This window comes from Homo sapiens, chromosome 6 (genome assembly GCF_000001405.40).
Source record: "Homo sapiens chromosome 6, GRCh38.p14 Primary Assembly".
In the NCBI taxonomy this organism is placed as follows: Eukaryota; Metazoa; Chordata; class Mammalia; order Primates; family Hominidae; genus Homo; species Homo sapiens.
Genome location: NC_000006.12, coordinates 51,929,458 through 51,942,730, shown reverse-complemented (window position 1 = coordinate 51,942,730; position 13,273 = coordinate 51,929,458). Strand labels below are relative to the sequence as shown.

The window sequence follows — 13,273 nt, the reverse complement described above, 5'->3', positions numbered from 1 at the left end:
GTGTGTGGTAATTAGGCTTGGTGGAACTGCCATCAATAAACCAAGTGTGATCAGGGTGAGGAACAGGAAAGAAGGAAATATGGAGAAATGGGGGTGAATGTCAGGTGGATCAGAGAGATAAGTCATGGGGGTCAGGTGTGGTATCAGGAATAATGTGGGAGGCCGGATTGAAGTCCGGGCCAGGAACAGTGGTAATTGCGGGAGACTCAACAAAAAGTGAGTACAGCTGAAGGAGCCAGGGAGCAGAAAGTATATGTGTCAGGTGTGAGGAAGAAAATAGGTTTTGGAAGTTATGAGAACTATAGAGAGTGAGTTAAGCATAGTTTATGGTTTTAAGGGCCTCTAAAAGTATTAGGGCGGCAGCGGCTGCTGCACGCAGACTTGAGGGCTAGGCAAAACTGTAAGGTCAAGTTGTTTGGATAAAAAGGCTACAGGGCACAGTCCCAGTTCTTGGGTAAGAATTCTGACTGCACAGCCCTGCACTTCAGCTGTGGGTAATGAAAAGGGTTGGGATGAGTCAGGGAGAGCTAAGGTTGGGGCAGTCTCTAAAGCTGTCTTCAAGGAATGGAAAGAGGAGTGGGGAAAGGATTTAGGATCTATGGGGTCAGCTAGGTTTCCTTTTGTGAGCTTATATAATGGCTTTGTTAGGATGGCAAAACTAGGTGTCTAAAGTCGAAAGTATCCAACCATGCCTAGGAAGGAAAGGAGTTGTTTTGTAGAAGGTGGTGGGGTTTGAGAGATCAGTAGGACACGATCGGCAGGGAAAACACGTTTTATGAGAATTACGCCATGATAGGTAACAGATGAGGAAGAAATTTGGGCTTGACTGAAGTAATGGGGGCTGTCTGTGAAGGCTTGCGGCAGTACAGCCCAGGTAATTTGCTGAGCCTGATGGGTGTCAGGGTCAGTCCAAGTGAAAGCGAAGAGAGGCTGGGATGAAGGGTGCAAAGGAATAGTAAAGAAAGCATGTTTGAGATCCAGAACAGAATAATGGGTTGTGGAGGGAGGTATTGAGGATAGGAGAGTATATGGGTTTGGCACCACGGGGTGGATAGGCAAAACAATTTGGTTGATAAGGCACAGATCCTGAACTAACCTGTAAGCCTTGTCTGGTTTTAGGACAGGTAAAATGGTGGAATTGTAAAGAGAGTTTATAGGCTTTAAAAGGCCATGCTGGGCTGGGTGCGGTGGCTCACGCCTGTAATCCCAGCACTTTGGGAGGCCGAGGCGGGTGGATCATGAGGTCAGGAGATCGAGACCATCCTGGCTAACAAGGTGAAACCCCGTCTCTACTAAAAATACAAAAAATTAGCCGGGCGCGGTGGCGGGCGCCTGTAGTCCCAGCTACTCGGGAGGCTGAGGCAGGAGAATGGCGTGAACCCGGGAAGCGGAGCTTGCAGTGAGCCGAGATTGCGCCACTGCAGTCCGCAGTCCGGCCTGGGCGACAGAGCGAGACTCCGTCTCAAAAAAAAAAAAAAAAAAAAAAAAAAAAAAGGCCATGCTGTAACAGGTGAGTGATAACAGGCTTTAATCCTTTTAAAGCGTGCTGTGGGATGGGATATTGGCATTGAGTGGGGTAAGGGTGATTAGGTTTTAATGGGATGGTAAAGGGTGCATGATCAGTCGCCAAGGAGGGAGTAGAGGTGTCTTATATTTGTGGGTTAAGGTGGGGGGGGATACAAGAGGAGGATGCGAAGGAGGCTTTGAACTGGGGTAAAGGGCAGCAGTGAGGTGTGGCTGTAATCTAGGAACAGTGAGGGAAGCAGATAATTCAATTAAAATGTCTCGGCCTAATAAGGGAACTGGGCAGGTGGGGATAACTAAAAAGGAGTGCATAAAAGAATGTTGTCTAAGATGGCACCAGAGTTGGGGAGTTTTAAGAGGTTTAGAAGCCTGGCCGTCAATACCCACAACAGTTATGGAGGCAAGGGAAACAGGTCCTTGAAAAGAAGGTAATGTGGAGTGGGTAGCCTCCGTATTGACTAAGAAGGGGACGGACTTACCTTCCACTGTGAGAGTTACCCAGAGCGTCTGCGATGGTCCTGTAGGCTTCCGAGGCAATCGGGCAGTATCAGTCTTCAGCTGCTTATCCAAGAAGATCTGGGAAGGAGTCAGTCAGAGAGCCTTGGGCCAGAGTTCCAGGGGCTCTGGAAGTGGCTTCCAGGTGAGTTGAACAGTCCGATTTTCAGTGGGGTCCCACACAGATGGGGCATGGCTTAGGAGGAATCCCGGGCTGTGGGCATTCCTTGGCCCAGTGGCCAGATTTCCAGCACTTGTAGTAAGCTCCTGGGGGAGGAGGTTCTGGAGGAACCCCTGACAGCTGCGGTTCAGGCATTTGGAGTTCTTGTGTGCTGGAGATATGGCTGGGGTTTGTCTCACAGTGGAGGCAAGGAATTGCAACTCAGAAATACATTGCTACTTGGCTGCCTCTACTCTATTATAGTACACCTTGAAGGCAAGGTTAATTAAGTCCTGTTGTGGGGTTTGAGGGCCGGAATTTAATTTTTGTAGTTTTATTTAATGTCAGGAGCGGATTGGGTAATAAAATGTATATTGAGAATAAGACGGCCTTTTGACCTTTTAGGGTCTAGGGCTGTAAAGCATCTCAGGGTTGCTGCTGAACGAACCATGAACTGGGCTGGGTTTTTCATATTTGATGAAAAAGAGCCTAAATGCTAACTGATTTTGGGAGAGGTCAGATAAAGAAAAAGGAGCATTAACCTTGACTATGCCTTTAGCTCCAGCCACCTTTTTAAGAGGAAATTGCTGGGCAGGTGGGGGAGGGATAGTCGAGGAATTAAACTGTAAGCCAGACCTGGTGTGATGAGGGAGGTGATAAAAGGATTATAGGGTGGGGGAGCAGAGGCTGAGGAAGAATTGGGACCTGGCTGGGCCTGGCAAGGAGCAGCCTGGGGAGGAGGGGAGAAGTCAGATGGGTCTGTAGAAAAGGAAGATTAGAAAGACTCAGTGATGCTTGGGGTTGGGACTGAGAGAACAGGAGGGAGGGAAAGAAGGAGGATTTGGGATGAGTCGCATTGGGAACAGAGACTAGGGAGGAAACAATGTGTAAAAGAATGTCTGGACGTCAGGCATCTCAGACGGTTTGTCTATTTTACGATAAGAATTATCTAGATCTTGTAGGATGGAAAAATCGAAAATGCTGTTTTCTGGCTATTTGGAACCACTGTCAAGTTTGTAATGGGGTCAAGTGGCATTGCAGAAGAAAATAAGGCATTTAGGTTTAGGTCAGGTGTGAGTTGAAGAGGTTTTAAGTTCTTGAGAACACAGGATAAGGGAGAAGGAGGAATGGAGGGTGGAAGGCTGCCCATAGTGAAGGAGGCGAGCCAAGAGAAAAGAGAGAGTAGAGACACGGAGAGAAGGGGTCAGCGGGTTCTTGCCCCCTAGAAAAGCGGAGAAGGGGTAGAGACACGGAGAGAAGGGGTCTGGGCGTTCTTGCCCCCCAGAAAAGCGGTACTTGCCACTAAGGGTGAAGGAGAAGGGGTTGGGGGGGTTCTTGCCCCCCAGAAAAGTGGAGAAGGGGTAGAGACATGGAGAGAAGGGGTCAGGGGGGTCCTTGCCCCCCAGAAAAGCAGTACTTGCTGCTAAGGGTGAAGGACCAAGGCAGGCATCCCCACGTGGTCAGACACCTCTGAAATGTGGGTGAATAATCAGGCAGACATCCCCGCATGATTAAACACCAAGGGAAGACTGTCTTCCTGAGTCCGTGACTGGCGCCAGAGTTTTGGGTCCATGGATAAAACGCATCTTCTGCATCACCAGAAAAGGAAAGGAACTGAAATTAAGAGAAGAGAGAGATTGAAGTGTGGCACCAAGATTGAAAGGAGAAAGAGGTTGAGGGATAGTGAGAGAGGTTGGAGAAGAGAGTAAAAAGAGGCTGCTTACCGGATTTAAAATTGGTGAGATGTTCCTTGGTCTGAGGACCAGAAGTCATAGGTGGATCTTTCTCACGGAACAAAGAGCAGGAGGACAGGGGATTGATCTCCCAAGGGAGGTTCCCTGATCTGAGTCATGGCAGCAAAATTTCACTTGCGTCTGTGTGAAGAGACCACCAAACAGGTTTTGTATGAGCAACAAGGCTGTTTATTTCACCTGGGTGCAGGTGGGCTGAGTCCGAAAAGAGAGTCAGTGAAGGGAGATAGTAGTGGGGCCATCTTATAAGATTTGGGGAGGTAAAGGAAAAAGGGGGGTTGTTCTCTGGCGGGCAGGAGTGGGGGGTCACAGCGTGCTCAGTGGGGGAGCTTTTTGAGCCAGGATGAGCCAGGAGAAGGAATTTCACCAGGTAATGTCATCAGTTAGGCAAGGACCAGCCATTTTCACTTCTTTTGTGGTGGAATGTCATCAGTTAAGGCAGGAACAGGCCATTTAAATATCACTTCTTTTGTGATTCTTCAGTTACTTCAGGCCATCTGGATGTATACGTGCAGGTCACAGGGGATATGATGGCTTAGCTTGGGCTCAGAGGCCTGACAGTTTCTAAAATAGTGATGTTATCTATTGGAGTATTTGGAAGAGTTGCAAATCTTGTGACCTCTTGAACAATGGCTAGTAATCATTTAAATATGCTAAACATCTTAGAATTTTGGCACCTCTTATAATCCTAGCCTTGTGGCCTTTCATTAGTTTTACAAAGGTAGTTTAATTTTGGGAAGGGCTATTATCATCCTTGTTTAAGGTTAGACTATAAACTAAATTCCTCCCATAGTTAGCTTGGCTTACACCTAGGAATGAGCAAAGCCAGCCAGCCTGTGAGGCTAGGAACAAGATGGAGTAAGCCATGTTAGATTTTTCTCACTGTCAGAATCTTTGCAAGGATGGTTTCACAGCAATAATGGAGGAAGCGAAGATGGTGAGTGTGATGATAGCCACAGAGACCATTGCATTAAGGGTTGAATAGGTGTCAGACTCCAGACCAGGGATCTATAAGAACTATTTCAATAAATCTCACCTTAATCTTCTGAGGGTGAAATTCTTACCATGCCCATTTTACAGATGGAGAAACTGGATACCTATGCGGGGTGTGTCATTCTAAATTGTGACTGAAAGAAAAGGTCCTTGAAGGGGTCTGGTCCAAGTATACATCCCGTGACTATTACTGATGGCATATGGCTTGGGCTTTAGAATTGAAGAAAAGAGTCTTGAGGAAAGGAGCTGAGGAAAGCTGAAGAGAAGTTAGGGAAGAAGTGGCCTCCATATTTGACTATTGAGTCAAACATTTATTGATCACTGTCTCTGCACTAAGACGGAGGTAAACAATTAAATGAAAAGAGTCAAACTCTGTAAAATACTTGAAGAGATTAATTCTGAGCCAAATTTCAGTGACCATGGCCTGGGGCACAGTCTTAAGAGGTCGTAAGTACATGTGCCCAAGATGGTCAGGCTACAGCTTGGTTTTATATGTTTTAGGGAGAGGTAAGACATCAATCAATACATATAAGATGTACATTGGTTTGGTCTGGAAAGGTTAGACAAGTAGGAGTGGGGGCTTCCAGGTCATAGATGGATTCAAAGATTTTCTGACTGGCAATTGGTTGAAAGAGTTAACTTATTAACTTATCTAAAGACCTGGAATCAACAGAAGGGAGTGTCTGGGTTAAGATAAGTGGTTGTGGAGTCCAAGGTTCTTATTATGCAGATGAAGCCTCCAGGTAGCAGGCTTCAGAGAGAATAGACTGTAAATGTTTCTTAGCAGATCTAAAAAGGTTCCAGACTCTTAGTTAGCACTCTCCTAGCTCAGGGTAAAGATCCAGAAAAGGAAGGGAATTTTCTACAGAATGTAGATTTTCCCCACAAGAGACAGCTTTGCAGGGCCGTTTAATATATTTTGGGGTAAAATACTTCAGTTTCTTTCAGGGCCGGCTATCTGTCATGTGGTGCTGTACTAGAGTCAGGTTGGAATTTGGTGTCTTATTGCTACAGAGTCTATTTTGTCAGTCTTAATGTCTCTGTTTTAATGTTAATGCTGGTTACTTATTTCTGAATTCCAAAGGGAGGAGGGTATAATGAGGCATCTCTGACACTCCCCGTCATGGCCTGAACTAGTTTTACAGTTTAACTTTGTAACGCCCTTGCCTAAGAGGAGGGGTCAATTCAGTTGGTTTGGGGGACTTAAAATTTTATTTTTGGTTTACATGATAATGACTAAAGTCATTTTTGCCTTTTTCCTCTCTCCCTCTCATTTCTCCAGTGCATGTTTAACTACTTCCAGCTGTGATTTCTGGAAAGCAACAAAAACTCAACTCAATAACTTGGCACTCTGGATTTATGACTACATTAGCAGATGAAGAGTCTTTGCCCTCCACTACATCTCACCAAGACTCTTCTTATTATAGTAGAATCTGCCTTTTGAGGCATTTCTGATACTTTGCTATCTCTATATCCTTTGCCCCCCTTTGCTCATTGAGACACTATGTAGGCTTATAAATTAAGTGTAAGAACAACATCCTTTCTGAGAAAATGGGAGAGTGTGTGTGTGTTTGTATATAAGGAAATAGAGGCACTTAAATCAGAATCTCCAAAAAGATATGTCCATTCATTCATTCACTCAACCATTAATTGTGTGTTGAGTGCCAACTACCTACCAGCCACTTTTCTAGACACCAATAATTTAGAAGTGAACAAAACAGATAATTCCCCTCAGGAAGCATGTATTCTGGTGGGGAGAGGGCAGAAAATAAACCTGTAAATATATAATATGCCTGATATCAAGTATTACAAAGAAAAAGGCATTTAGGCAAGGGGCTAGGGTGTGCTATTTTATATAGACTGGAGAGGGAAGGCCTTGGTGAGAAGTTAACATTTGAATAGTAACAAGGGAGAGTGAGCCATGGGAATATCAGAACATTCCGATAATTCCAATAACATTTTAGATATTTCCGATATTTTTGATAATTCTTATTCATGATATTCACGGGAATATCAAAAGAACCTTCCAGAGGGAAGAGCTTATGCCCTGAGGCCTGTTTGAGAACTAACAGGCAGGCCAATATGTTTGTAGCATATGTGTGAACAGGTGAGCTTTAGAAAATGATATTAGAGAGGTATTGGAGGTTGGGTAGCAAATCATGAGGGACCTTTTGTAGCCCAATGTAAGGACTTTGACTTCTATTCTGAGTGAGATGGGAAACTATTGTTGGATTTAGAAAAGAGGACCTCTGGTGTGTCTGATATAAAGATACAATTCTGACTACTTTGTTACAGGATGGAAGGGTCTAGTCTGGTATTTTTGTAAACCACTTGCAGGAGAAAGATGGACTAAATAGCTTATTGAAGTTAAAGTGTTTATTCATATGGGATGCTTTAATTATTTTGACATTATTGAGAAAATTCTACGTAAAATATAAACATTCTAAAGCCTTTTAAAGAAAGATATTATAAAAATGAAAATATCTTTTTAATTTTTAAATTATTTAATCTCACAATGCAAAATAATTCTATTATAAACGAATATTCTTGTGTTACTGAAAATTTGGACATCAGAGCAAAATGGTATATGTATCAGTTAAGGTTATCTGGTTGCCAATAAGAGAACCCAACTTTTCTTTTAAAAATGGAATGTATTGGGAAGGTATTGGGTAACCTACTAATCAGTGGAAAGCAGTCTGAAAAATCAGGGACAGAAATACGTAGGAATCAAAGCATTTGATGCAAGTGGCGGGTGGTGGGGCAGGCAGGGAGATGGGCAGGTGGGCATCTCAGAAGCAGGTGTTCTTCCCAGGCTCCTTAGAATGCCACCACTGGAACTGAGATCTAAATATTTCCTACCTCTTTTCCCTTTTGCTCCATATTTCTCTTAAAGCCCGAGTATGTGACTCTGGCCATGGTAGGATAAGATGTCTTGCTTGACAGTTCCACTCAGCTCTAGTCAATGGGGCAGAGCAATACCTCAAGGAAATTAGGGTCTGTTAACAAAAGAAAGTATAATGGATGCTGGTCAGCTAAAATGCTACAAATGCCACAGTGTTAGCCCTAGTTACATTTCCTTTTACTATAATTCTTACAATTTTGGCACATCTTCTTCTAGCCCTATTTCTTGTATATGTCCCAGTTTTTTTTTTTCTTAATTTTATCTATTGTTAAATGGTAAAGTTAGTGGTCTTCTCATACATTATTTAACCATTCCTAAATTGCTGGACATTTAGATTATTGTCATGAAAATGTAATAAAGCAGCAGAGAATAGTAATAGCTAACCTAAACTGGCTAAATAATAGTGCTTCCACTCCTGAATGTCTGGTCTACCCTACTGTGCTTCTACAAGAGAGAGCATGATAAAATAAGTCTACATTCCAGCAGAAGTATTTAAATGAAGGGGATTTCATCAGGCATTGAAACTGACAAAACGGTAAGCCTTATCCTCCCAGGGACTGACAATTTTCCCTTTGTCCATTAGGGGGCAAGCTGATTTTCATGGCCCCAGGACCCATCGAGCTCAGGGCACACGCCATCCTTGTTTCTGATGGTGGAGAGCTCCGGATTGGATCCGAAGACAAGCCCTTCCAAGGCAGAGCTCAGATCACACTCTACGGGAGTTCCTACTCAACTCCCTTCTTTCCCTATGGAGTCAAGTTCCTGGCTGTGAGGAATGGAACTCTTTCTCTGCACGGTGAGTGAGGCAATTGATCAGAGGAAATGAAGTAGAGCTGTGTCTAGCAGTGGAAACTGATAAAACTGTTTAAAAGTCCTTGACTATAGTTGCTGAGCCAACCAGGTCAGTTAGAGCATGGCACTATTTCCTTAAATAACAAGTAAAACTGTTACGATTCATGTGGCAGAGTACACTACCGTTCCCAATTGTTTGCTCCTCTTTCTGTAAGAGGATTGTGTATACTTCCACCCACTGTTAGGTGACTTTCAGTGCCTCCTTGTGGGTGGACCATACTTCCCGGCCCCTTTGCAAGAGCAGACTTAGCCTTATACTCGCTTTGGTCAGTGGAATGTGAGCAGAACTGGGGGACTGCATGGCCAAGTGAAGGTTTTAAGACCTGTTACGATGCTTTAGCCATTTCGTTTTCTTCCTGCCACTTGAGAATAGCCTGTCCCAGATAGAGGCAGTTCCTTCTGCTTAGAACCTGAACGAAGACGACATGGGGCAGTGCTGCAGCTGACCTACTGCTCTCATGTATGTGAGTGAGAAATAAGCCTTTGTCATAAGCCACTGAAATTTGCATTTGTAATTGCAGCATAGCCTAGTGAAAACTGACTGATACAATTACTTAGCATGTACTGATGTCTCTCAACATGCAGTAGCCTGGTATCCCAAATCAAATACAGACAACCTCATTTAGTTGTTGAACCTCTTCCTGTCTCCCCAAACCCTCTACCCCATGAGCAGGGTTTAATTACAGTTCTACTTAGAATCCTCTTACAGATAGGTGGGGTGTTTAAGGATTCCCAGGAGAAAATAGATTAGGCTACAGTGTGTTCTACTCCAACTTTATTTGCTTTCTGATCATCTAATTCCACTTTGCAAAATGGACATTTTTTTTCCCTCTTGAGAGTCAGGAAATTACCAGGTGTGCCAGGATAATCCTTAGTATCAACTGTAAAATATCAGTATAAAATAATGAGTAAGCATATTTCAGTGGGTGTTTATATGCTTTTGGTTGCATAGCATGAGCCAAAGGCAGATAAAAAATGTGGGCTCCAGATAGTGACTCAATCTCCAGAAATCATAATGTCAGTTACACAATGATATTTCTATATTGGCATCACAAAATAATCCACTTGTCATAGGATAATTGCTCTAGATGAGGGCATGGAGCTGTGCTGAGGAATCTGCCATTTTTCTTTATCCAGACTCTGTCTCATACCGACCACAGGCCCCAATCATTGTCTATCAAAAAACATGCTTGTGTCTCTTTTGGCTTACTATGAAAGGAAGCAAGATCTTTTCCTCAAGCATTTAAGTGTTGACTGTGGGCTACCCAGTGTGCTAGACACTGGGGATCAAATTTTGTGAGGTTAAAAATACCCCATAACTCACTGGATAGAAATTCAAAATGCTTGCTATGTTGATTCTATGATCAACTTCCAAGGGGACCTTTTTACCTCCTATCTTCATCAGCAAGCAACTACATTGATTTTGTAGCCCAGGATCTATTCCCACGTCAGCCATGGTTTTCAAATGTTTGCTCTAGCTCAATGGCCTCTTAAGCCACTAACCCAATATGTTGCTTTTTACCAGTAAAAAAGTGCATCTGGGGAATAAGTTGGTGTATATTTGTGGTTCAGCCAGCCCATAGATCGTCCAGAGGACCCCAGGCTTAGGAGGAATCCTCAGATTTGAGAGCCACTGTCCTGTATGATGCAGATAGCACAGCTCTTCCTGAAAATAGGAATTCAAATGAGGAAAAATGAAAACTCTCCTAATTATTTTCTTCTGCCTCTTTCATTCCAAGCTCATCTAATTATCATGCTCTATTGTGAAGAATCAAAGAAAGAACTCATAAATATACCTTTTGTGCCTGTATTTTAAATGTACGTTGTGCATGTAAGCCTTTGTGGTTAAGCAAATGTCAAGAAAATCCCTAGTCCCATTGCTTACAGTCAATATGGGGCAATTCAAGCAAAGTATATGCCTCTAATATGGTTTGAAAATTCTGAAAGTTCAGAAAAAATGTTGCTACTTCAGCCATCTGATGTTACTGGATATTGAGAATGAGACCTCCTCTCCCTCTGCTTTCCTCATTTCCATCTCCTCCTTCCTCTTTCTCCTCTCTCCCTCTCCTTTATTCTCCTTCTCCCTCCTCTCTCTCCATGCTTCCTCCCTTCCTCTTCTCCCTCTTTCTTCTTTATTCTCCTTCTCCCTCCTCTCTCTCTCTCCCCTTTTTCCTCCCTTCCTCTCCTCCCTCCCTCTCCTTTATTCTCCTTCTCCCTCCTCTCTCTCTCTCCCCCTTTTCCTATATTCCCAGATTAGGCCATTTTCAAAACTGGTTAAACATTCCCCAAAGCATTTAGGACAGAGAATTGACTAGGATCTCACCTGAATCACAGAGCTTGCCCATTGAACACAGGCAAAGATCAAGCCATTTCCTCTCTGATGTGATGCTGCAGCATCTCATGCATTTGAAACAAATATTATGTAGAAAAGAGCTCAGCCATTTGGGTGACAGGGATTCCTTTCCTGATGTATCTGTCAGAGAATCGCAGCCCCACGTGCAGCTCATCAATTCTCTCCTGTCACTTCTCCCTCACCACCTGAGGTCTCAGACAGATTTCCCCTCCAGCGTGGTGGTATATCATGGCTAAAGTCATTTCATAATTTCACTGGCCTTTTGCCGGGGCCAGAGGTGGGTCTGGTGACACTGGGGCTTTAGGAAAAAGCTAATTTTCTTTCACCATCAAGTATGCAAAATAGTGAGCAACTTGATTCACTGTTTTGCACCCAGGAAGTCCCTAATGACCCAGCATTCACTCAGTTTCCCAGGATAACATAATGAGGAGATTCACCAACTTTGGCGCACAGAAGAGCCTTTTGGGAGAGGTTTTTGTAAATCTAGATTTCTGGGCCTGGAAATGTACATGTGATGTGACTCAGGTGGCCTATTGACTATACTCAGAGAAACACTGGTTCAAGTGGTTAATCAAATTGGAATCAGAAATGGGCCCAGTTCTGCCACAGATCAGCTATGACCTTCAACAGATCTCTAAAAAATCAGAAAAACACAGTTCCCACTTCATAAACTTATTGCTCATGAAGTGTTCCAGAGTGTTGGGCACACAAAACACATATTAATTTTCTTGTCTATCTCTTTTCATCAGAGTAACAGAAGGGTTTTAACCTTGGAGATCATGTGGTAACAACATTCCCAGGCATCTTCTCTTCTCTTCCCACCACCCAGTCAACACCTTTAGATTTTAATCTCTCTTGGTGCAGCTGCTTCCCAGCTGTGGATAACCACCATTCCTGGGCGTGGTTACAAAAGGCTTCTTAGAAACTATTTGCATGGGTCCCAGTATAGTCTGAAGCAGGGCACTGCCCAGCGAATGAGGCCCTTGGCAGACATTTGGTTCCTAATATTCAGCAGCAATGCTGAATGGATTCTAATTTAACTCCAGCTCAGGTCATGTAGAATCACACAAATGGTCTGCATGTCAGTCCGATCACTTTCCCACCTTCTCCTTCCATCTCATTCTTTATTATTGCTCTTTGAAACCCTTCTGCTCCAGCTGATTTTTACCTTGGATTAAAATCGCTAAGCAAACAGGCTTTGGTGTTCAGCTGTCACAAGGCAAGATGGAGTTGAAAGCACGTTACATGTATTTCTTTGAATGTAGGAAAAGTCCCACACCCTTATACACTCACATATACACACAGCTGCACATATACACCCACACACAGCACCATCTTTTCTGTTTCTGTTTGAGAGTAGATGAGGACAGGTTCTGAGTTGCTGGTGGAGTTCAGATTGTTTAGTAACTTCTGTCAGCTGCTCACTTTGATGCGTTAATATGACTAAAGGGTCTCAGGATTCCTCCTGAGTGGCAGTCTGGGGTTTGGGTAGCTGTAGTCAATAAGGAAATTTCACTCTTGCCTTTTGCTTTCATCACTCTGTCTGCCAATCCAGGTTCACCACTCCAAACTGAGTGCCAATCACTTGTCACTTTTCAAGTGGGTTGCTGTCAGCCTGGGCAACTTAAATTTTTGACAACGTAATTACGGCTCTTGCTTCCACAGTGGGAATCTGAGCAGGATGGTGGAGCTTTTATTGATTGTTCAGCAGGGAAATTTATCAATGTCTCTCACTTCATTTCCAGTTTCTCCCTGAGAAATTTGGCTGACAGTTTCTTAGGAGAAAAACAGTCTCATGGCCTTGGCTGGACTTCTGTCTTTGTCCTTTTCAAGAAATTACAAGATATAGGCATTAAATATACATGGAAATTCCTGAGAAAAAGCAGTATGTGGGGCATGATTGAAGAAAGCACGAGTGCAATTGCAAGGAACATAAGAATTTGGTAGGAATAAATAAAAGCAGTGGTCTAAATAAGCAAGCTTAGATATGGTTTGTTTTCCTTCTGAAAATGCCAAGTGTCTGCATGTAAATTCCATGGTTGCTATGAGTACTGTGTAATATGCACTATTTTCATAGTTGCTAGAGTATCAGGCTGTCTTTAAGCATGGTATAAAGTGTGTGGAACAGGCACATGTGTGGGAGTGTGTTTCCGGTCAGTGGTTTTCACATTGTGCTCCACAAAATCCAAATGTTTCCTGGAGGGGATTTAGGGGTTCCCTAAACAATGAATATTGGAGGTCAA

General features: G+C 43.5%; 1 protein-coding gene across 23 annotated transcripts in view; it reads left to right on the top strand.

Moving 5' to 3' along the window:
- PKHD1 (PKHD1 ciliary IPT domain containing fibrocystin/polyductin) overlaps positions 1 to 13,273 on the top strand; it is a 472,317-nt gene that overhangs the window by 144,885 nt on the left and 314,159 nt on the right. For all 23 annotated transcript variants that reach the window (XR_001743469.2, XM_017010944.3, XM_017010945.3 and 20 more), the window contains one exon: positions 8,409 to 8,621. Coding sequence is in view for 22 of the 23 variants with exons in the window: in XM_017010944.3 (XP_016866433.1) it covers positions 8,409 to 8,621 (213 nt within the window). In the remaining variant the exon portion in view is untranslated. The remainder of the gene's footprint in view (positions 1 to 8,408; positions 8,622 to 13,273) is intronic.